The sequence below is a fragment of the Homo sapiens genome, chromosome 10 (assembly GCF_000001405.40).
Source record: "Homo sapiens chromosome 10, GRCh38.p14 Primary Assembly".
Classification (NCBI taxonomy): domain Eukaryota; kingdom Metazoa; phylum Chordata; class Mammalia; order Primates; family Hominidae; genus Homo; species Homo sapiens.
The window spans coordinates 47,339,942-47,361,608 of record NC_000010.11 but is presented as its reverse complement, the minus strand read 5'-3'; the positions used below and the strand labels follow the sequence as shown (position 1 = coordinate 47,361,608).

Genomic DNA, 21,667 nt, shown 5'->3' with positions numbered 1-21,667 from the left:
ATGGTGCAGGGTCGCCACCAGCCGGTGACCCCTTACTCTGTTATGCTCCCAGCTTTGGAACAGGCCGGTGCTGGGCCTGGCGCTTCTAACCTCAGCCGTACCACCCTGTTCCTGTGAGCACGGAGAGAGAGCCCTTATCAGGGGTGAAAGTCGGCCAGAGTAGCCCCCAGGCCGGGCTTGCACTCCTCATTCCCTTGGGAAGTGATGGCGCCATCTGGAGGCAGCAGGCCTTCCTGCAGGCCACTTCCCTTCAGAGAGGGAATCACACACCCTTGTCATTTGCCTAATTTTGTTGTGTTTTTAGAAGTCATGTGGTAGGTCTACAGATGGCATAGCAAGATCAGAACCTCATAGGATAAACCTTTTATTTGAAAGATAAGCCATTCTCCAACATGGGTTGGGTTGTGACACTTCCTAGGAGAGAAGAAGTTTCAGAAACCGTTTTGTTTGTTTGTTTTGTTCTGGTTTTGGAGATGGAGTCTTGCTCTGTTGCCCAAGCCTGAGTGCTCGATCTCAGCTCACTGCAACCTCAGCCTCCCAGGTTCAAGTGATTCTCTCGCCTCAGCCTTCCGAGTAGCTGGAATTACAGGCACCCGCCATTATGCCCAGTTCATTTTTGTATTTTTGTAGAGATGGGATTTCACCATGTTGGCCAGGCTGGTCTTGAACTCCTGACCTCAGGTGATCTGCTCGCCTCAGCCTACCAAAGTACTGGGATTACAGGCCTGAGCCACTGCGCCCGGCCCAGAAACCGGTTTTGAAAGGGGGTTGGGGAGGCAGTGCCTGCAGGGAGAATGGGAGGGGTTCTCTAACGCTTTCTTTCCATTCATCTTGCCATCTCGTGTTTTCCTGGGGCAAGACGGAGGAAGCCACTATCGTCTGATCCCATTGCTATTCTAAGCTGCTTGGATTAGGAGGCTATTTTTAGTGCTGGCAGCCCTGGTCAGCAAAGCAGAGAGGGTACCTAGGCCAGGTGGCAGCTAAATCCCATAGGAACCAGGAGATGGGAGGTGGGTGCCCCCAGGCAGGGACCTTGGAGGTGGGTTTCCTGGCCTGGAGTGTGAACCGGTTGCATTGCTTTTCTTTCTGAGTCACATCGTTTCACCGCATCACAGCTGTGTGGGTAACCAGGGCCCTCTGGTGCACAGTCAGGGCCCTCTCCTGTGTAGGCCTGTGCGGGGCAGACACAGGGACACAGGAAGAGGAAGCTCCTTCCTCATTGCTTCAGCCCAGCCTGAAAGCAGGAGGCCCGCGAGGGTCCCCATGTGGTCCTTTTGCATTCCCTATGTATGAAGCATATCACTGCAATAGTCCCTGGCCCCTCCTTCCCTGGATGGGGGTCACCACGTCTCCAGCAAGAACTTGGAGGTGAAGATCACCTTTTCCTTCCTCTCCTTACAGAGCCTGGCAGAGGCATGGCTTGTTGCTGACTGAGAGCATCTGGAAATGAGCCCCCAGCACTCAGAGTCACCACCCTCACCATGCCCCCCAGCTCTGTGCTGTCAGTTCCTGGTCAGACTGCAAAGATGCCCATGAGTGGACTGTGCCCATGCCCTGCCCCTGCTGCTAACACCCAGTCCCCCAAGTCTTCTCTGGCGCCAGGGACCAGGTCTGAGACAGCTCTGTTTCCACCACTTGCCCTGTGGCTGGCCTGGCATCCTCAGGATCTGCCCTGGAGGGGAAAGAAAGGCAGGGAGAGATGGGCCCAGTATACCCTGAGTTCTTTTCTCTACCCAATGACTCTGGCTTGGCTGCCCAGAGTGTGGCCTGGGCTTTGATAGTGAACAATAGGGAAGCTTCTAGGCCTGTCTTGCCCCAGAGAGCCAGCTTTGAGTCCCTGCCAGGGCCTTTATAATCCATTTATTATACATGCTGTCACAACAGGGCTGAGCTGACTCCTGGGGGCACTCCAGCACCCCTGGATGCCAGTCAAATGAACCCCTGCTTGGTACTGGGTGACTTACCTCTTCACCACATCTGCAAGAGGGACAGATAAATATGACCTTCCAGAAGTGTCTGCATCACCTAACAATGCCCTTCCAGTGAAGATGAACCCCTAGCTGCAGGTCAGGCCACAGAGATGGGGCAGGAAGCTGTGTCAGGGATTTAAGCACAAAGCTGGGACCCCAAGACAAGGAAGGGAAAGACGATGGCAGGCTGGGTGCAGAGCAGAGTGACATTAACTCAGGTATTAACTTATCTTGGGTCCTGATCATTGGTGGACACTGGGTGAGCAGTGGGGGGACAGAGTTGAGGGAGTCTGAGTGTCTGGAAGGAGGTGTGGCTGTGTGCAAGATGTGAGTTGGAGGTAAGTAGGGTTGGGCAGGGTGCAGGCCATGAGCTCAGACCAGGGCATAGAGAGTTGAAGGGGCCCAGGGCTCATCTGAACTTCTAGGCAGCTATCGGCCATCTGGCTGTCCCACCAGAAAAGAGACCTGATGGGATTTTGTTTTCCTTTTCCTTTTTCTCCAGTCTTGTGCCTGCAAGCAGGTAACAATGCAAGAAAGCTTGCATTTAGGAAGGCTGAGCCTGTTCTTTGCTACGCAGAGGACTCTCGCTCCTCTCTATCTCAAACCCCCTTTCCAGATCAGGCCCAGGGTGTCTTCATGATGTGGTGGAAACAGAAGGATCTTTGGAACTGTACAGCTATGGGTTCAGATCTCACCTACCCTTTAACCAGCTGCACCAGACTGTGCTGTTCATTACAGAAAAATGAAGTCTTTGGTGGATGGAAGCAGACAGGGATTTCAGGAGGGAGCCCGGATGGTGCCCAGTCCTAGATGGGCAGGCTGGGGGACCTGGCTGAGCAGTGGGTTGGGACAATGGGTCACTCCACTAGGACCACAGCCAAAGTCACACCAGGAAGTCGAGGAAGCACCTGTTGAGGGTGCTGCTGCTGTCCCTGCTAAGCACAGGGCATGGCTGTGCTGTCCCTGTACACTAGGCTTCTGGCAGATGGCCGCTGCCCAGGCTCCCTGGCCACTTGCTCCAGATTAAACATCTTGCACAGGAGCTTCTGGTTGACCAAGGCAGGATCACATGCCCATGCCCTACTGCCAGAAGGGCTGGAAAAGTGGGGCTTCCAGAGTGTTCAGCTTTGTGGTGGAGAAATTATGACAGCTAACATTGGCTGGACACTAGATTAACTCACTTCATTCTCACAACTCCAAGTGTAGTATTATTTCTCCCATTGAACAGGTGAACAAACTGAGGCCCAAAGAAGTGAAACAAATTGCCCAGAACCACTCAGCTGGGGAAGTGGCTGGGCTGGTTTCCCACCCAGGCAAGGCTGACATCACTGTTTCCTACTGATTCCTATGGGCAGTGATTCTCTGATCATCCAAAGGTGCTGCAAATGCTGGGTGGCCCAAAGGAGGACACAGGTCCACCATGCTGGATGTGTGACCTTGGGTGAGCTGCGGAGTTTGTCTGTGTCTCAGCTGGCTCCTGGGTAGAAGATGAGAGTGGCCAGCTATGCAGCCGGCATGAGGCTCAGAAGAGACACAGCCAGTGTATGTACATCACCAGCAGAAGGGCCGCACCAGCCCTTTCCCTATTTAAGATCCACAAGATCTTTGCCACCTGCTGACCCCACAGCATCTTGCACCACATCTTAAATAAAATCAGCTGTCCATAGAGGTCAGCAGGGCAGATCCAGAAGATCTAAATAATGTGAATGGAGAACTCATGAAAAGAAGAGATTTAACAACCACTAGTGATCACTAAATTGTGGTTAATGGCTCGGGTATATAATTTATTTTATCTTCTTTATTTTGTATTTTGGAATAATGATAGCTGCATCTGAAAATAATGATATATGCACATTAATGAGTATTTAAGAAAAAGAGCAAAGTATGAAGAAGGAAGGTAAAAATACCACCCCAAGTTCTACCACTTAGAAGGAACCTTTGTTAAAATTTAGGTGGTTATTGGAAAGCCATATATATATACATATATATACATACACATATATATGTGTATATACATGTGTGTGTGTGTATATATACACACCTCCAGCTGTAACCTAACCAGAGCTCAGCAGGCCCCTTTGCTGCTCCTGGGAACCTCAGGCCGGGCCACCTGCAGGAGTGCCCTTGGTGTGTGTCCCAGAGGTTCTGTCTGCCCTGGGGCTCTGCCTATGGGGCCCTTCCCTACAGGTGGTCCTGCAGGCCTGGGCTCCGCTTCACCCTCAGCTGGTTGTGCTGGAGCATCTCCTTGGCCCTGGCGAGAGCCTCTTCTGCAGGGACAACCACATGGGGTGTCACCCCCACCCCTTCCCAGGAGCTGCCATCCGAGGCCCCCACAGAACGGGCCGTGGGGATAGTGAGGTAGAGGTTGGTGTCATCCACGTGGTAGGTCTGTGGTGGCTGGCAGCCCCCACTGGTCACCTCCCCAATGACCAGGGCCCGGCCCAGCCTCTTCATGATATAGGTGAACTCCTCCGCGGTGCCGGCCGTCACACTGCTGGTCAGAATGACCATGCTCTTCTTGGAGCCATAGCGTTCACCTGGAAGACATAAGGCCCTTCAGGATGGGGGTCATGTCAGGACCCTGGAGCACCTGTCTTCTCTATCCTGCCTGGGCCTGCAGTGATGGAGGAGGCCCGGGGGTTTAGGTCTGTGTCCTTGTGTCCACTTGTGAGCCACTTGACTTCTCTGAGCCTTGATTTCTGCATCCGTAAAATGGGGACAAGAATGCATGCCCAATCACGAGGATTTCAGTGCTTGACAACTCCCAACGAGGCCTTTTTATGCCAAGTGATAGGAAAGGCTTGACTCTCCTGAGAAAGGAGCATCCTCTCTCTTCATGAATAATGAGAACACCTAAACCGACCTGACTTCCTTTTCACTTTGGACTCAGAAAAGCCCAATTTGTGATGTATAAGAACAACTCTCCAGGACAGCACTGTCCAACAGGAATGCAACGTGAGCCAGAATGCTGGCCATAGATGTCATTTTAGGTTCCCTAGTAGCCATGTTAAGCAAGCAAAAAGAAACCCATGGTGTTAATTTTAATCATGTTTTGTTTAAGCCAATGTATCCAAAATACATTCTTTTCAAAATGTAATCAAATAAAATTATTAATGAGGTTTTCTTTTCATAATGTCTTCAAAATCTGGTATGCACATTACACTTCCAGCACATCACACTTCCAGCACATCTCAACTTGGGAGAGCCACATTTCAAATGCTTGGTGGCCGCAGGTGGCTTGTGGCTCCCATATTGGACCTTGCGGTTTTGGGGCCTCATTATCTGCAGAATTGAGTCTATCTTTAACTTCCAGTCTTGAACATCTATTTGAATTTAGAATTCACCTGGTTCTGATTTGCATTTACACTTGTAATATTATTGAACGTATGTCCTAGGAGCTACAGCAAAATGCCTGTGTATTACAGAAGCATGGACATGAAAATGGTGGGGTGTTTCTCTGGTCACAGGCACACCCCCATCGGTCTCTCCAGTCCTTTCTTGTTGGGTAGGAGCACAAGTTCCTTGGTCTTACACACTGGGCAGGGAAGATAGATGGAGGCCATCCACCCTGGAATGGGGCTTTGAGAGTTATGGTTCTGTAAAGCTCAGGGCCTGCCTTTGCTCCTATAGCCACTGCTCTGGGCCCAGGGCGGGGAACAGAAGCCCGATCAGCATCATGACCTTTCCAGGCAAGTTTGTGGCACTGTGGCTTGAGAGCTCAAGTACTGTGAGCACTGGCAATGCCCACTGGGGTTGGTGAGGGGCGGGGAGAATCCTTCAAATTCTGCATTTGTCCTGCAGGCTGGTGATTATGGTGCTAAGCCTGGGGGAAATTTTGGTATTAGACAAACTAATATTCACATTTTGGGTTTCACTTATTAGCTGCATGACCCTAGAAAAGATATTTGACCTAGTCAACACCCCCTTTTTTTTCCTCTAGAAAACGGGCATAGTGATACATGCTTTTCAGGGATTCGAGATCATGCACATCTAGTGCCTGGACTAGGACAGGGCCTTACATTCTGGTTACTATGACTTTTACCTACACCCAAGCTGTCTTTCCCTGGTTTCCCAGAAGCTTCTAGAATGACAGCAGAAAGGAGAAAGCTTCTCCACGTACCTACAACCTGGGCGTGTGTCCAGAGTTCACTGACAGAGTCATCAGGCCGGCTGTAGATCTTGTCCAGCAGAACTGGAGGGCCTTCATCAAAGAAGTAGGAGCACAAGATGGGAATGGAGGATGTGGGGCCACCGATGTTGAACCTGAAGGATGGGAAGCAGAGCCTGTTCAGGGGCTGAGCTCACAGTGAGGCCCTGTGTGCCCCTCGGGGAGGCCAGGATCTTTGTCCCATGGAGGGTTCTAATTCTTGGCAGCCTCAGTCTAGTGCCTCTTCCTCCTTTAGAATTCCATGGGTTGGCATTTTCCAGAGTATTTCCAAGAGTACTAGTCTCTTTAGAACAAGAAACTTAGTGATCAAATATGTTATCCTTTCCTTCTGCTATGTAATTAATACATGTTAATATATTAAAGGCCCTGACAAGTCCTGCAGTCAGAAACTTGTTGATAAATTTCCCCCATTTATTGACCATGGACTGCTCCCCTGCACCCATATCTTCCTATGAGTGGAACACATTTTGGGAAACATTGTTTTTCCCGTTGCATTCTGTGACAATCTTATGACACCTACCAGCTGTCTTAGTTCAGGTGTCTTAACAGGGCACTTAGTGTATTGAAATATTCAGGCTTGTGGAGCTGCATTGGGAGCAGGGGAGCCTGTATTTCTCCCAGGCCATTTAGATTTGTCCCACTGTGTGACCTCGTTGGGCCCCTGTCTCCCCACTGGGGCTAGTGATGTGTTAAGGAGCCTCGTCCAACTGATGGCCTGGGATGGCCTGGCTGGGTTCGGGGCCTGTGATGTCAGTGTCTGAACCTCCAAACAAACCTCAGGGGTGGGAGGGTCTTTAAGCAAAGTGCACTTGCAGGCTGGGGCCATCTCCTCTTTAAAAAGTGTAAATGGCATATTCAGAAGAAAGAGACTTAGCATGAGTGTCATTTGGGTGCTCAACAGAACTTCTAAAGAATAAAATGATCAGAGAGACCCCAGGAGCCTCAAGCTCAGGCTGTGAACACACACAGAACTGGAGCCAGGGCTAATGTTTTATCTCCCAGGGAGGAGAAGCAGTGGGTGCAGGACCGAGAGCCACCTAGTGACCACTAAGAACCATGTGAGTGAGCGCTGAGGGCTAGAGAACTGGAGCTGGGTGAATGCTTCTGGTCTGCCACCCCCTGCCACTTCTTTCAGACAACACGGGAGCATGGAAGGGTCCCGTCTGAGGAAGGCAACCTGCCCAGGGAGGGTGCTGGGGCATGTCCACCAATGGACCCCAGAGTCATGGGATGCCAGGTCTGGCCACTGCCTGAGGGTACTCATCCACCTCCTACCCCTGGTCCATGAGGTAAACTCATGACATATGAGGCACATTTTTACAGAAACAGAGGGGAGGTGGCTAGCTGAAGACATCCTTCTGACAATCATTTGGTGATGCAAAGAATTCTTTTGTTAACAATAGTGATTAACTTCTAAATTTTCCCTGTGTGATTTCCAAATTCTGCCTGTACGATTCATATGACCAGGGTTGTCATGTGTTGATTTTGTATGATGTGAGGCACACTCCCAGGTGGGGGGCCTGGCTGTCTCACACACCACTGACCATCAGAATCACCTGGGATGCCTGTCAAATAGAGATTATCGGGCCTGTCCCCTGGAGCTTCTGAGTCAGTAAGAGGGGAGTGGGGCCCAGGAATCAGTGTTTTTAACATCTCCTTCCTCTCCTCCCCACTGAATCCTATGACCAGGCAAATCTGGGGTAATTCTCAATCTGGAATGCACATTGGAATCACTGGAGAAGCTTGCAAAAACTACCAGTGCTGGGCCCCACCTGCAATGACAGCAGATCTGCTGGGCTAGCTGGCCGAAGCCCTGATAGGCAGGAGGCCTGGCCCCCCTCAGGTCCTCTGCTGTGTCACAGGGTTCCTTTTCTTCCCTGCTGTGGCCCATAGCTTTGACTGTCCCCTGGCAGCCCTGCGTCCTGGCTAGGAAGCACTGACCCCTGGCCACTGACCTCATGTCGATGATCATGGCATCCGTGTGCATGATCTTCTTCCAGATGTGCTCCACCAGCAGCCTGGAGACCTGGGTGAGCAGCTCACCGTCCCCAAACATGTCAAACCTCAAGTAGCCAATGTTGTCCTCAAGCACGTTAGTGTGGAAGGAAAACTTGATCAGCTCTTCAAATACTTCAGGGGAAGGGATCTGTAAGAGTTGGAGGTCCTACTCAGTGTCAGGAGGAGCAGCCAGTTTTAGAGCCCAGGAAAGCAGGCGCCATGGGAAATATTAAGGGCATGGGACAGGAACTAACATTTCTGAAGGAATTAGTAGACACCAGGGACTTTCCCAGTGGCATGTCTGGATGTGACATGCCACTGGGACATGTGTGATCTATGGGCAGCCTCCTTGCAGAGGATGCTCCTGTCTGCCACCCACATGCCCTGGTGTCCTGAGCTAGAAGGCCCAGGAATGGACTCCCCTCTGACCTCTCCAACCTTACCAGATACTTCCTATGTCTCTAAGCTGCTCCACTGGGGCAGGATTGGAAGATGTTAGTTACCTTTACCAGGCACCTGGCCCGGTACTAAGCACTTTGTAGAGCTTATCATCATCCTCACAGCCACCTGTACAGGAGATAACACGATCCCCATCTTTTCCATGGAAAAACTGAAGCACAGAGAGATTAAGTAACTAGTCTCAGGTCACACAGTCAGTAAGTGGTGGAGCCAGAATCTGAATCCACATCTGACTCCAAATCGTGAACCTTGGCTATACTGGAAAGGAAGGAGATGTTGATTTGGAAACTGGGGATTCTGCAAGCCTAGCACAGGCTACTCGCACGTGGATGCACCTCCTCCTCCCTCTCTAAGGCTGCTGGAGGGAGGCAGGTCTTGGTGAGATTGACAGGCAAGGAGACTTCATTGACAGAGACACTGCCCTCCAGGCCCTGCCCTGCCCTCAGTCACAGCTCTCTGGCCTCAGGCCACTCCCCTCTGCTCCTCTCCGGGCCTCAGTTGCGGAAAATGGGGATAACAATTCTGTAGTAGATGCTTTTGGCACTCTCAGCCCCCTCTGCTTTCAGCTGCACCCGACCCCACTGACAGGCTCTCCTATAGCACAGCCCTGCCTTTCCACCCGTAGCTCAGGCCTTCTCCAAGAAGAGGGAGCCTGCCCCACCCTGAGGCATGTCTCAGGGCAACTCTTGGCCAATGCGGGACAGGAACCACTGGGCCCTGCCTGCAGAGGGCTATGCCTGGGAGCATCCCTGCACTCGTCAGGGTCCTGGCTTCAGCAGAACAGCTTTGAGGCACCTGCCTGTCAGCTTCCCAACCCACTCTCCCTGCTCCCTCCTTCATGCCTGCTTCAGTAACCGCCTCCCAGACAAAGCGCCTGCACCCAAGCCCTGGTCTCAGACCCTCCTTGCAAGGGATCCCATGGCAAATGCTGCCCTGCCCAATTGTGACGATGCAGCAGACCACAGGTAGAACAGTGTGGAGGTGTGAGTGCTGCCTAGGTGGAGCTCTCGGCCAGCGTGGGGCACTTGGTGAAGTCCATTGGCCACCTCTGACAGGTGTTGGCCTCTTCCCTAGCACTGACAATGAGAAGCCCTGCCAACACTCACCTTCCACCCAGCCAAGGCTGAAATGCCTTCTATCCCAGGAGCTTCCGAACTGGCTTCCTGTGAGTATTGGTTGGCTTTCAAACTGGCTTCCTGTGAGGTGGGTGCAAAAGTAATTGCGGGTTTTGCCATTGAAAGTACTTTTGCACCAACCTAATATGAATGTTCTACAGAGGTGTTCAGCAACCCCAGGGTCACAGAGAGTGGATGGAACAGGTTGAGAAAGAGGAAAGGACTTGACCGGTCAAAACTTAAACGTGAGAACAAATCTAAAAGCCATTGTCACGCACTGTGCACAGAGCCCTGCATGTGCGGACAATGGGTCAACTCACTCCCGGGACTGGGTTCAGCCAGGTCTCTCTTGGGTCTCACCTGCATGGGCACAATTCCAGGAATGCGGTCCTTGGCATTCTCAGGGATATGGGCTGCCTTCAGGTGTGGGTCTCCGGAGAGCATCTGCAGGTCAGCCCCCAGGATCTCGGCTAGGGCCACTTCTGAGGTCACCCTGGAGTAGCGGCTCTGCAGACCGCTCAGTTTGGTGGCCATCTTGGCCCCCAGCTCGGCAGAGGCATAGTTATCAGCCACCAGCTTCCCGGCCGTCTGCAGCACCGTGGGCACCTTGGCACGCAGAGCCACTATGTCCTGGGCTATGGAAAGGGCTTCGCTCATGGGCACAGTGATGTCGGGCTCCACACCAGCCAGGTCCCAGGCCTTGCCTGTGGTGGCACTCATGGCCATCTGGGTGGGCATGGATGCATATAAGGGGCTGCTGCCCACCTGGTAGATGCCCACAGAGAGTGCGCCTCCGGCCGTGGGCTCCCCAATGACCGTGGCCCGCTGCAGGTCCTGCATGGTGTGTGCAAAGGCCTCGGCCGCAGAGCCACTGGTGTGGCTCATCAGGATGTAGAGGTCCTTGTGTGAGCCGTAGCGCTGGCCGGCGACCTGGGGCAAGGTCCACACCTCCGTGACTTTTGAGGTGGCCCTGTCAAAGACAGAATACAGGTGCTGGCGGGGCTCTGCCTCAAAGAAGTAGGAGCAGAGCAGCGGGATGGCCGTGGAGTAGCTGCCAGGGTTGTAGCGCAGGTCGATCACCAGCGCAGCCGTGTCCACCAGCTGTTGCCATACCAGCCGCACCAGCTGTGGCCCCACGGCCTTCACTGTCTCCAGTTCAGCCATGGCGTCAAAACGCAGGTAGCCCAGCTGGCCGGGCAGCACCTCTGTCTTGAACAGGGCCTCAATAAGGTAGGTGAGCTCCTCTGGAGAGGGGACAGCAGGGGGTGGTGGGGGTGCTTCCTCTACCACCAGCTCGCCAGGGCTGTGGAACACTAGCAAGCGGTGGTCCCCAGACACCTCCTGGAGGTCTGCTGTGAGCTGAGAGGCCAGAGACTCCAAGTCCACAGCTGTGCGGTAGGCGCCCTGGGCCAGCTTGGCCCGCAGGAGGGCACTGGTCTGCCCCACGACCTCTGGCCGAGCATAGTGGGCCTCCAGCAGGTGCCCTGTGCCCTCCACCAAGGCCCCCAGGCTTTGGTGGAACTCCAGCACTTCCTGGGCTTTGTCCAGGGCCTCCTCGGCCAGCACGATGGCATCGGGCACCACTCCACCACCCAGCCAGGCCTCGCCGTGATTGTCGATGAAGGTGAGGACCGGCACGGTGAGCGCGAGGCTGCCTTCGGGTGTGTCCAGCAGCGGCACCGTGCGGGTGTGCAGCAGGTTGCCCGCGGTGATCTCACCTACCAGTGTGGCCCAGCCCAGCGACTGCATAAGGAAGGCGAACTCCTCCGCGGCCGTGGCGGTGCGGTGGCTGGTGAGCAGATACACCCCACGTTGGGTGCTGTAGCGTGGGCCCGGGAGCTCCATGTGGCTGAAGTGCTCCTGCGTGATGTTGGTGCGGCGATCATAGGTGGTGAAGAGGTGCACGGGGCCGGCCTCAGGGCCCTGGAAGTAGGACAGGAGCAGGGGCACAGCAGAGGATGGCCCTCCAGGGTTGTGGCGCAGGTCCATGATGAGGTGCTCCGTGTCCTGTAGCGGCTCCCACACCTGGCGCAGGACATATGGGGCCAACACACCCAGGACGGAGGCGTCAGCAAAACTATCGAAGCGCAGGTAGCCCACATTGCCTGGCAGCACCGACACCTGGAACACAGAGTCCACCAGTGCTTGCCGGATAGCCTCGTCCTCAGGCAACTCTGGGGCCACCCCTGGTGAGTCTTCGGCTGCAGCGTCGGGCGCGGGCCAAGAAGGAGTTTCTGTGGGCCCGATGGCTCGCACCAGGAGCCTGGGATCCTCAGACGCAGCCTGCAGGCCGGCATTGAGCTTGGTGACCAGATCTTCCTCGGAGACCACCGTGGAGAAGTCCATGCTGGCCAAGTGCTGCAGCAGGGTGGGCACACGGTCCACCAGCGTGTAGTAGTCCTTCAGGACCTCCTGGAGGCAGTGGACTACCCCTGGAAGGGCGCTGCGCAGAGTGAGGATGGCCAGGGCTTTCTCCAGGGCCTGCTCGGCCGGAGTCCCCACACAGGGCAGCACCCCGCTGCCCTCCCACGTCTGGCTGCCTCCACCAAGGGGCCCCAGGGACCTGGACACGGGCACCGTGAAGAAGAAGTCAGACTCGCCTATCCTCAGCTTCCGGAGGTCCAGGGCCCCTCCCCCAGTCCGCTCGCCCACCACGATGGCCCTGCGCATCTGCTTAAGGATGTGCGCGATGTCCTCGGCCACGCCCCTGGTCTGGCTGCTGGTGAGGACCACCACATCCTTGTCGGCACCGTACCTTTCTCCCAGGACCTGGGGCAAGGTCCAGATCTCCGTGGTGGTGTTGGAGGGGCGGTTGTAGATAGTGTCCACGTGCAGGATGGTGTTCCCTGGGTGCAGGTAGGAGATGATGTAGGGAATGCCAGAGACCTGGCCTCCTGTGCAGTGCCGGAGATCCAGCACTAAGGCGGAGGTGCCCATGAGATTCCCCCACACGTGGGCCACCAGGAACTCCCCCATCATGCTCAGCACCTCCTGGCCCGGGACGCTGTCCACCCGCAGGTAGCCCACATTACCCTCCAGAACCTCATGGCGGAGGCCCCTTTGCAGCCAGGCAAGCAGTTCCTCTTCTGAGAGGCTGGTGAGTGCTGGGACTTGTGGGGGAGGCTCGGGGGTGCTGGGCTCATAGGAGATGACCAGGCGAGGATCGTTCAGGGAGCTCTGCACCCCGGCTGTCAGCACACTGGCCAGCGTCTGCGGGTCTGAGATGCTCAGAATCTCATGGCTCTTGATGGCCTGCTGGATGGCTTCCTGCATGCCCAGCAGGTTCTCCGGGAAGCAGTAGTTATCCAAGAGGACCTTGGCCATGTCCAGCACCAGGCTTGGCTGGAACAGGTGTGTGGGGCCAGCCAGGCCACAGAGCAGCACGGACATGAGCAGAACCCATTCTCTCATCATGGGGACCCAGGGGGAGGCCTGGCTCCTGCACAAAAGCTCCCTGGACTGTGTGCAAGGCCGTGGCCCTGCTCTGTGCAGCTGCCTTCCGCCCTTGTCCTTCTCAGCTGGTGGACAGAAGGTCTGGGGCTAAACTCCTGAGTTGGGGCAAGGCTTCCAGCTCCAGTAAGCCTTTAATCCTGTCTAATTCAAGCACATCAACCCTGGGTATCGGGGAGGAGTGGCCAGGGTGGTTTGACCCAGAAGGTACATTGCATCTTATCTTGCTGTGTTGTGTCTGCATATCATAACATTAATCACTGCCATTATTTTAGTTCCTGCTACATGCCAGACACTGTGCTCCATCCTTTACAAGCTGACAGTTTCCACCAGAGCCTTGCAAAGTCCAGTTATTAACTTGCAAGTCCTCCTTGGAGAACTGTTCTGCCACTGTCTCTCCCGTGGCCTCAGGGAAATGTCTTAATTACTTATTGTGTAGATTAAATGAGAAAATATGTGTAAAGCACTTCTTCCCAGTACCCAGTAAGTAGGAAGCACTCATTACTGGTAAGTTATCTGTATTAGATATTACCTCTGTTTCATAGCTAAAAAACAAAAAAACAAAAAAACAAAACAAAACAAAGCAAAGCAAAACAAAACAGGCCAGAGAGTTCTGTAACTAATAGAAGCCCATCGTTTTAGGTGTGGACAGATAGGGGGTGCAGCAAGAAGAAGTCCTTGGGGCTACAATTGGCCCATACAGTGCAGAGGCTGAGTCTGAGGCTGGCATCAGCCTCAGAGCTTGAGATTTATTTCTATGTCCCTTTAATGCCTCCAGGGAACAGAACGGGTCCCCCTACAGCTTTCTAATGCTGGGAATGATGTGTCTGGACCACCATGTAGGGTGTGGAGTGTAGAGGCGCCCACCTTCCAGACATCACAGGACTAGTGTTCCCATTCAAATGAGGTTAGCTCTGAGAGTTAATGGCTAGAGGGGACTCCTGCTTCTTGAAGGCTCAGCCCACAGCCTGCAGTTCGCAGGGAGAATCAAGCAGGAAGTCTTGGGTCTCCGTGGTCCCAGGCTTCACATGGAATCCAGATCATTCCTCCTGACTGCATAAAGCACAAGAAACAGGGAAAGGTAGACTGCTGAACTCTTCAGATCCCAGCTCCTGCCACTTCTTATAGAAATAATGTGGGTGCTGCTTGCAACTGACTGGCTGTAGAAATCCAAGAAGTCCTGCTATGGGGTCGGAACCTGGAAGCCCTGCTTTGCCGCTGAATGCCTCTGGAGATGGGCACTTTCCTCACTTAACAGACAGACAACTACGGCCCAGAGAGTGGTCGCAAGGCCAGGGCAGAGCGTTGGGAGAGCTGTCCCAAGCTGGCTCCAGCAACACCGCCTTGGCTGAGCGGGCAGCAGGCAGGCGCCCCTGTGTGCCTCAGTAGGCAGCTGGAGAAGGTGGTCTCAGGGACGTGGGCTTTCTCTACACAGCTGAGACCCACAATCTGCTCTTTGGAAATCATTATCTGAGGATGTTTACCAACTGCTTTATGAAGGCCAAAGAGGTCAATTAGCTAAAACAAACATATTTTTAGCTCATTAGGATTTGTGTAATGCTCAAGTGACATATGGTCACATCACTCCACCGTATGCAGCCAATGGAAGTGAGCCTGATTTACGATGAGAATGGGGTGGGGCTGGGATGCTGCCAACACCTCCGGATGAATGCACTCCTTGCATATCCTTAGCCCTGCTGGGAAGCCTGGGCCTTCTCCTCTGCCTCCACTTGGAGAATCACAGTTCTGAGCATGCACTTCCGTGTCCTCAGAGGGCACTTGTCTGCCATTGCTTGAGTCCAGGCAAAGCTTCTGGCCCAGAAAGGGCTTGGGGGAGAACAGGAGTAAGACTGTCTTTGGGGAAAGGATTCCCTGGAGTCTTACTAAGATGTAGTTTCAGGATAGGATTGTCTGGACCTATCACTGGGATTTGATTTGTGTGGCTAGCCCAGAGCCTTAAGAAGGACGTGAGAAAAAATCAGACTGTTGCAAGTCCCTGGGGTGCCTGAGTTGGATGGGGCATGGGTAGAGAAGCAGTGCTTCTCCTGTGGGTAAGGCCCAAGCAGGTGGAAGAGCAAGTTCTGTCCTCAGAGTTCTCCAGACTCCAGGGGGCCAGGGTGTCCTTGCCCCCAGGCCGTGGGGGGATGTAGGAAGATGGCAGCCAGCCTCCTTAGCTCATGAGGAGAATATGTTCTGGGTAAGTCCCCAGAGTGAAAGCCGAGAGCTCTACATCTTCCCATCCAGACCCTGACAACTGTAGGGCCAGGGTGGGTTCAGAGAGTCCACTTGATCTTGGGGGCTGAGTTTTGGAGTTGGAGGGGGCTGGAAGGCCCTGCACCCCCTCACTTATACAAATGTCCTGTGGGCAGAGCTGTGCAGGGTAGCTTAGAAGCCATCCTGAACTGAACTGGTGAGAACTGAATAGGTGAGTGGGTGAGATCTTGATAAGGTGACATGAGACCTTGATCAGGCGACATGAGACCATGATTAGGTGACTCGACTGCTCTGAGCCTTGGCTTCTTCAAAAGGGAAAACAGAATAAGGAGAAAAGCCTCAGTATTGCTGGAGGATTAGGTGTTTCCATCCTAGAAGTTATGAAAGGAAGTTGAGGACGTAGGAGTTGGTGAGGGGCAGCTTGGGTCTGCCTGGGATTAGAACACCCCTGTGGTATTAGGGAAAGTCATTCCAAGAGGCTGGGGCTGCCCTGGAGACCTGGAGTCCTAGGGCTTCTTAGGCTCCAAACCTTTCCTGGGCCTCTACATATCTAAGGAGAAATGACCAGACCCAGGCTCCAGAGCCCAGCCCTGCAGCACCTGCAGCGCAGGTTAAGAGGGGGACAATGACACATCAGGGCTGCTGCAGGGATGGTCAGGGAGCAAGCGGAGCTGGGCAGTACAGGAAGGAGCGTCTTGCCTATTGCATCACAGATGTTGTCTTTTCAGTGGCCAAAGCCCTCGTCTGTCTATTGTTTTATGTTAGTTTTCCCCTCGATGTTTTATAATGGAAATGTTCAAGTGGTACAGCAAATATCTATATGCCATCATTTAAAGAAATGCTTTGACATGTTCACATTTTAAAGAACTTATCCGAGCAGATAGCGATTCATGAATCTGGTAGCTCCCCACAAGAGGCAGTTTGGGGCTCTGCAAGGGAGCACAAGGGGAGGCTTCCACAGGGTGAAGGCAGAAGTGGAATAAATATTACAGATGCTTTGGTTGCTTAGCGTTTCGGCCCTTGCATGATTTGGGACATCCTAGTGGAAAGTTCGAGACCATGCAACTGATGTCCAGTTGGCCATCAGTGGTTGGCTGGACTTAAGCTTCGGTTTCTTTTAAATTAGCTGCTTACAGTAAATGAGTCTGAGTTAGATTTCAATTTGCTCTTGTAGGAAATCAGGGCGTTAGAGCCACCTTAGTTTAATGGCTGCCTCCCTAGATTCTACCACAGACATTTTATTACCCCTTTCTCATCTCAGCTCCGCCTCACTAGCCTCTTCTACCCTGCAAGCCTCCTCTCCCCTGCAAACCAACACATTTTTAAATGCACTTCAAAGCAAATTGAACCTTGACTTTTTATTCATTTTATGTATTTTCATTTTACTTTTTTCTTAAATCAGAGGAGTAAAACATACTCATTTTTGTAGAAATGTGCAAACAAACCTTTTCCAAAGCTTTTAAAATCCAGCCTCCTTTAGTAACAAATAATCAGCATTGAATGTCTAGCCATTGTCACCTGTGTCTGTGTACACGCAGGGAGGTGCACATATAGGAGAGATCCATCCACACATCTATGGGCACCCCATCCATTTGTCCATCCTATTGTCAGCCGTTTATTAGCATAGATGATAATTTGCATTTTGTTTTACTCACTTAAACATACAACACAAACATCCTTCCCAGTTGAAGTATACTCATTAAACTCATCCTTTTAATGGCTACATGTAGTCTGGGGATCCCTAATCTAAAAATCTGAAATCTGAAATGCTCCAAAACCTGAAACTTTTTGAGCACCGACACAACACCACAAGTGAAAAATTTCACACATAAGTACTTAACACCAACTTTGTTTCATGCAAAAAATTATTTAAAATATTGATATAGTTACCTTTAGGCTATGCGTATAAGGCATACATGAGGCATAAATACTGTGTTTAGACTAGAGTCCCACTCCCAGGATATCTCATTATGTACATACAGATATTCCAAAATCCAAAAAGAATCTGAAATCTAAAACACTTCTTTCTCCAAAACTTTCAGATAATGGATACTCATCCTGTAGTAGTTCTTGATGATTTACTGACCCTTTGTGAGGCATATTTTAAGCTTTTTCTGTTTTTACTTCAATATTGTTTCAGCGATATTGCGATAAATGTTTTTGAAAACGCGTTCTTAAGGGCCTAAGGTGCTTTTTTGTTTGTGGATAAATTCCCAAACTTGGGCTTGCTGAGTCAAAGGGCATATACACTTGTTTGTTTCCTGTATTGTATTTTTTCAGTACCTTTTAAATTATCTAATAAGTACGTCCTTTTTTCACTACTTAATTGATGTATAATTAACATATAATGAACCTATTTGAAGTGTATCATTTAGTCAGTTTTGACACATGCATACCCCCCCGAAATTCTCACCGCCACCTGGGCAACATATATTGCTGTCGCCCTCAAGTTTTCCTGGTGCCCCTTTGCTCCCCAGTCCCCTCTGCATTCCCATATCCAGACAAACATGGATTTACTTGCTGCCAACACTATAGATTAGCTTGTAGCTTCTAGAATTTGCTATAAAAGAAATGATACCCTTTTTTTATCTGTTTTCTTTTGCCCAGCATAATGATTGTGGGATTCACCCATATTGTTGAGTGTACCAATAGTTCATTTATTTTGTTTGCTGAGTAGCCTTCCATTGCACAGATGGACCACAATTTGTTATCCATGCACCTGTCGATAGCCCTTCAGGTTGCTTCCAGTGATGAATATTACAAAGAAAGCTGACATGAGCCAGGTGTGGTGGCTCTCGGCTGTAATCCCAGCACTTTGGGAGGCTGAGGTGGGCAGATCACCTGAGTTCAGGAGTTCGAGACCAGCCTGACAGACAAGGTGAAACCCAGTCTCTACTAAGAATACAAAAATTAGCTAGGCATGGTGGCGGATGCCTGTAATCCCAGCTACTTGGGAGGCTGAGGCAGGAGAATTGCTTGAACCCAGGAGGCAGAGGTTGCAGTGAGCCAACATTGTGCTACTGCACTCCAGCCTGGACTACAGAGCGCGACTGTTAAAAAAAAAAAAAAAAGAAAGCTGATATGGATATTTGAGTGCAAGTCTTCGTGTGGATGTGTGTCTTTCTTTTTGCTGGAGTAATATAATACCTAGGATAGGAATGTATATTTAACATTTTAAGAAATGACTCAACTGTTTTCCAAAATTTAAATTTCTACCAGCAGCAAGAGACTACCAGTTCCTCCACATTAGTGGCAACAATTGGTAAGGAGAGACAGTTAAATTTTAGCCATTCAAATAGGTATGTTGTGGCATCTCATTGTGATTTTAATTTGTATTTGCTTAACAATTAATGGCGTTGAGCATCTTATTATGTATTCATTGGCCACTTGTATGTCTTCTATGGTGAAATCGATGTTCAAATCTTTTGCTCATTTGTTGGGGAAGGGAGGCAGTTGTTTGTCTTATTATTGATAAAGTAAAAGTTATTTTTATGTTCTGGATGTAAGACTTTTGCCTGATATATGTGTTGCAAATATTTTCTTCTAGTCCATGCCTTGTCTTTTCATGTTGTCAACTGTGTCTTTTGAAGATTGAAAGTTTTTCTTTGATGAGTCCAAATTTATCATTTTTTCCCTTTACGATTCATGCTTTTAGTGACACAGCTAAGAAATCTTTGCTGATCTCAAGGCCACAAAACCTTTCCTTTAGTATTTTGTTCTAGAATTTCTACAGTATTAGGTTTCACGTGAGTCTATGATGTATTTTCAGTTAATTAGATATCCAGTTGAGCCCACGCTAGTTGTTGAAAAGACTTTCCTTGTTCTAGCGAATTGTATTGGCATCTTGATAAAAAAGCAATTGATCGCATCTGTGTGGGCCTATTTCTACACAGTCTATTCCACTGCGTTCATCTATTTGTCTGTTTTCTACCCACATCACACTCTCTTGTTTACTACAGTTTATAATATGTCTTGAAATTATGTAATCTGAGTCTACCAACTTTGTTATTGTTTATCAAAATTATTTTGGCTATTCTAGTTCCTTTGATTATCCATATACATTTTTGATTCAAATCATTGACTTTACAATCAGATTATTGATTGGGATTGAATTGAATGCATAGATGAGTTTGCAGACAATTTACCTCTTAACAATACTGAGTCTTCCAACCCATGAATACGTTATATCTCTTTACTTATTTAGGCCTTCTTTGATTTATTTATCAGTGTTGTGTGGTTTCACTATATAGATCATGCAAATATTTTGCTAGGTTTATACCCATGTATTTTGTGGGGTTTTTTTTTTTTGGTGCTATTGTAAATGGCACTTTTTTCTTTAAATTTTAATGTCCAGTTATTCATTATGTTTTGATCATATATTTTACAACTTGCTAAACTCCTTCATTTATTCTAGTATACATTTGGAAGATTCCTTGGAATTTTCTAAAGGGGTGTTCATGTTGCATTTCTTGATTGACAACTTAAGGATGCTATTTTTTTTTCTTCTTTTTTTGAGACAGAGTCTCGCTCTGTTGCCCAGGCTCGAGTGCAGTGGCGTGATCTCGGCTCACTGCAAGCTCCGCCTCCCGGGTTCACGCCATTCTCCTGCCTCAGCCTCCGGAGTAGCTGGGACTACGGGTGCCTGCCACGAGGATGCTATTTTTTACTCTTGCCTTATTGCTCTTGCTAGGGTCTCCAGTGCCTTGTTCGTGATCTTAGGGGGAAAACATCCAGTTTACCATTAAATATAAAGTTAGCTGTAGATTTTTTTTTGGTAGATGCCCTTTATCAGTTGAAAATTCTTTTCTATTCCTAGTAATTTGAGAATTTTTTAAAAATCGTGAATGAGTTTTGAATATCGTCAGATGCATCTACTAACATGATGTTTTTTCTTCTTTAGTTTGTTAACATAGTTAATCATATTGACTGGTTTTCTAATCTCGAACCAGCCACTCATTTATGGGTTAAATCTCACTTGTTCATGATGTATTAGCCTTTGAATATGTTCCTGGATTTAATGTACTGGTATTCTGTTGAGGGCTTTTGCATGGTTATAAGGAATATCGCTCTCAAGTTTTCTTTTCTTTTGGTTTTGGTATCTAGGTAACGTCTACCTCATAAAAGTGTTGGAAAGTAATTTTTTCTCTTCCTATTCCTCCCCCTTTCTATTTGCTGGGAAAAGTTTGTATGGAATTGATATTATTTCAAGTACTTGAGGGGCTGAGAAGTATTGCGCTAAGCATGAAAGGAGGGCTGGTTGGGCTTATACCTTATTCCTACTTTTCGACTGAGCATTTCACAGTTTTGTGTCATCAGAGGAAAACGATAACTGAAGTATCAGAACATAGATTATTCCAGCTGTTAATGATCTATATTAGAAAGTATTCACAGCCTCAAAGATGACATCACTTGCCTGATGTCAGTGATTCCAGCAGGAGCTGGAATCATGAGGGTGCATTACCCACTGCTGCCTCCAGGGGGTGCTGTGTGTCAGGCAGCAGAGCCTAGGGCCTTTGAACCTGGATGAGTTCTGAGGTGTGTAATGGGTTCAGAATAGTGACCAAGTTCCCATCAGCCAGGGGCTCATCACCCACACAGTGGTTGGGTGGAAGGATAGAAGCCCCTTCTCTGCAGGATGGAAGCCCCTCGGAAGCACATGGCTGTCCTGCCCTTCCCTGCGCGACACCTTTTCTGTGCAGTGAGGACAGAAGTTCAAGTTTTCAGACAGAGTACATTTCAGCCAGAGATATCCTAGAGACTGAACACAGGAGGGTGGGGCCTTAGGCTGTTTGGAAGGCTTGATTTGCACAAAGAAATGAGGAAGCAATTTGCATCTGGAGAGAATGCATGAATGACACTGTTTAACAGGAAGGTAAGACCACAAGGCTAGCGACCCAGGATCGGAGTCGGGTCCCTGCTGTCTGAATCTGCAGGGCATGTGCCGTGTTTATGGATGATGCCTTCATCACTCCCCACCCAGGCCATTTCTCCTAAGCCACTGCTCCTTCTGCTTTGGGGATGAGAAAGCTGGGGCTCAGGGAGAGCACAGAACTTGCTCAAGAGCACAGAGCTGAGGAGACATGGACCTGCTAAAGGGAGAGAGGATCCCACACACACTGCCCTGAGCTTTGGTTCCTGTTTGTGTCGTAATCCCAGGCACGGACTTGTGGCAGGAGGTGGGGTGGGGAGAGAGGCTCCAGCAGGGACTAGGACCCCTGTGGCTGTGGCAAGGCTGTGTCTCCAGTAACTGCAGGGCATTAGTCTAGAGGAGACGGAGGAGATGGACCCCGCAC

At 50.4% G+C, this 21,667-nt stretch overlaps 1 protein-coding gene across 1 annotated transcript, besides 1 other annotated feature; it reads right to left on the bottom strand.

The window, feature by feature from the left end:
* On the bottom strand, positions 3,728-13,246 carry RBP3 (retinol binding protein 3). The gene is made up of 4 exons (NM_002900.3): positions 10,071-13,246; positions 8,094-8,284; positions 6,091-6,233; positions 3,728-4,507 (listed from the first exon to the last, which is right to left on the bottom strand). The coding sequence occupies exons 1-4, from the start codon at positions 13,122-13,124 to the stop codon at positions 4,152-4,154; spliced, it is 3,744 nt and encodes a 1,247-aa protein (NP_002891.1). The 5' UTR covers positions 13,125-13,246; the 3' UTR covers positions 3,728-4,151.
* Positions 18,417-19,079: an enhancer, noted in NCBI's record as "OCT4-NANOG hESC enhancer chr10:48396170-48396832 (GRCh37/hg19 assembly coordinates)". NCBI's record gives its function as "activates a minimal SCP1, AML or CMV promoter by ChIP-STARR-seq in primed H9 embryonic stem cells {active_cell/tissue: H9 hESC(primed)}" and the evidence as "EXISTENCE:reporter gene assay evidence [ECO:0000049][PMID:30033119]".

Coding starts and splice junctions, on each gene's coding strand:
- RBP3 (NM_002900.3), bottom strand. CDS start 13,124: ATGATGAGAGAATGGGTTCTGCTCATGTCCGTGCTGCTCTGTGGCCTG. Junction 6,234..8,093: donor GCCATGATCATCGACATGAG/GTCAGTGGCCAG, acceptor CCCATCCTTCAG/GTTCAACATCGGTGGCCCCA. Junction 4,508..6,090: donor GACACACGCCCAGGTTGTAG/GTACGTGGAGAA, acceptor TATGTCTTCCAG/GTGAACGCTATGGCTCCAAG.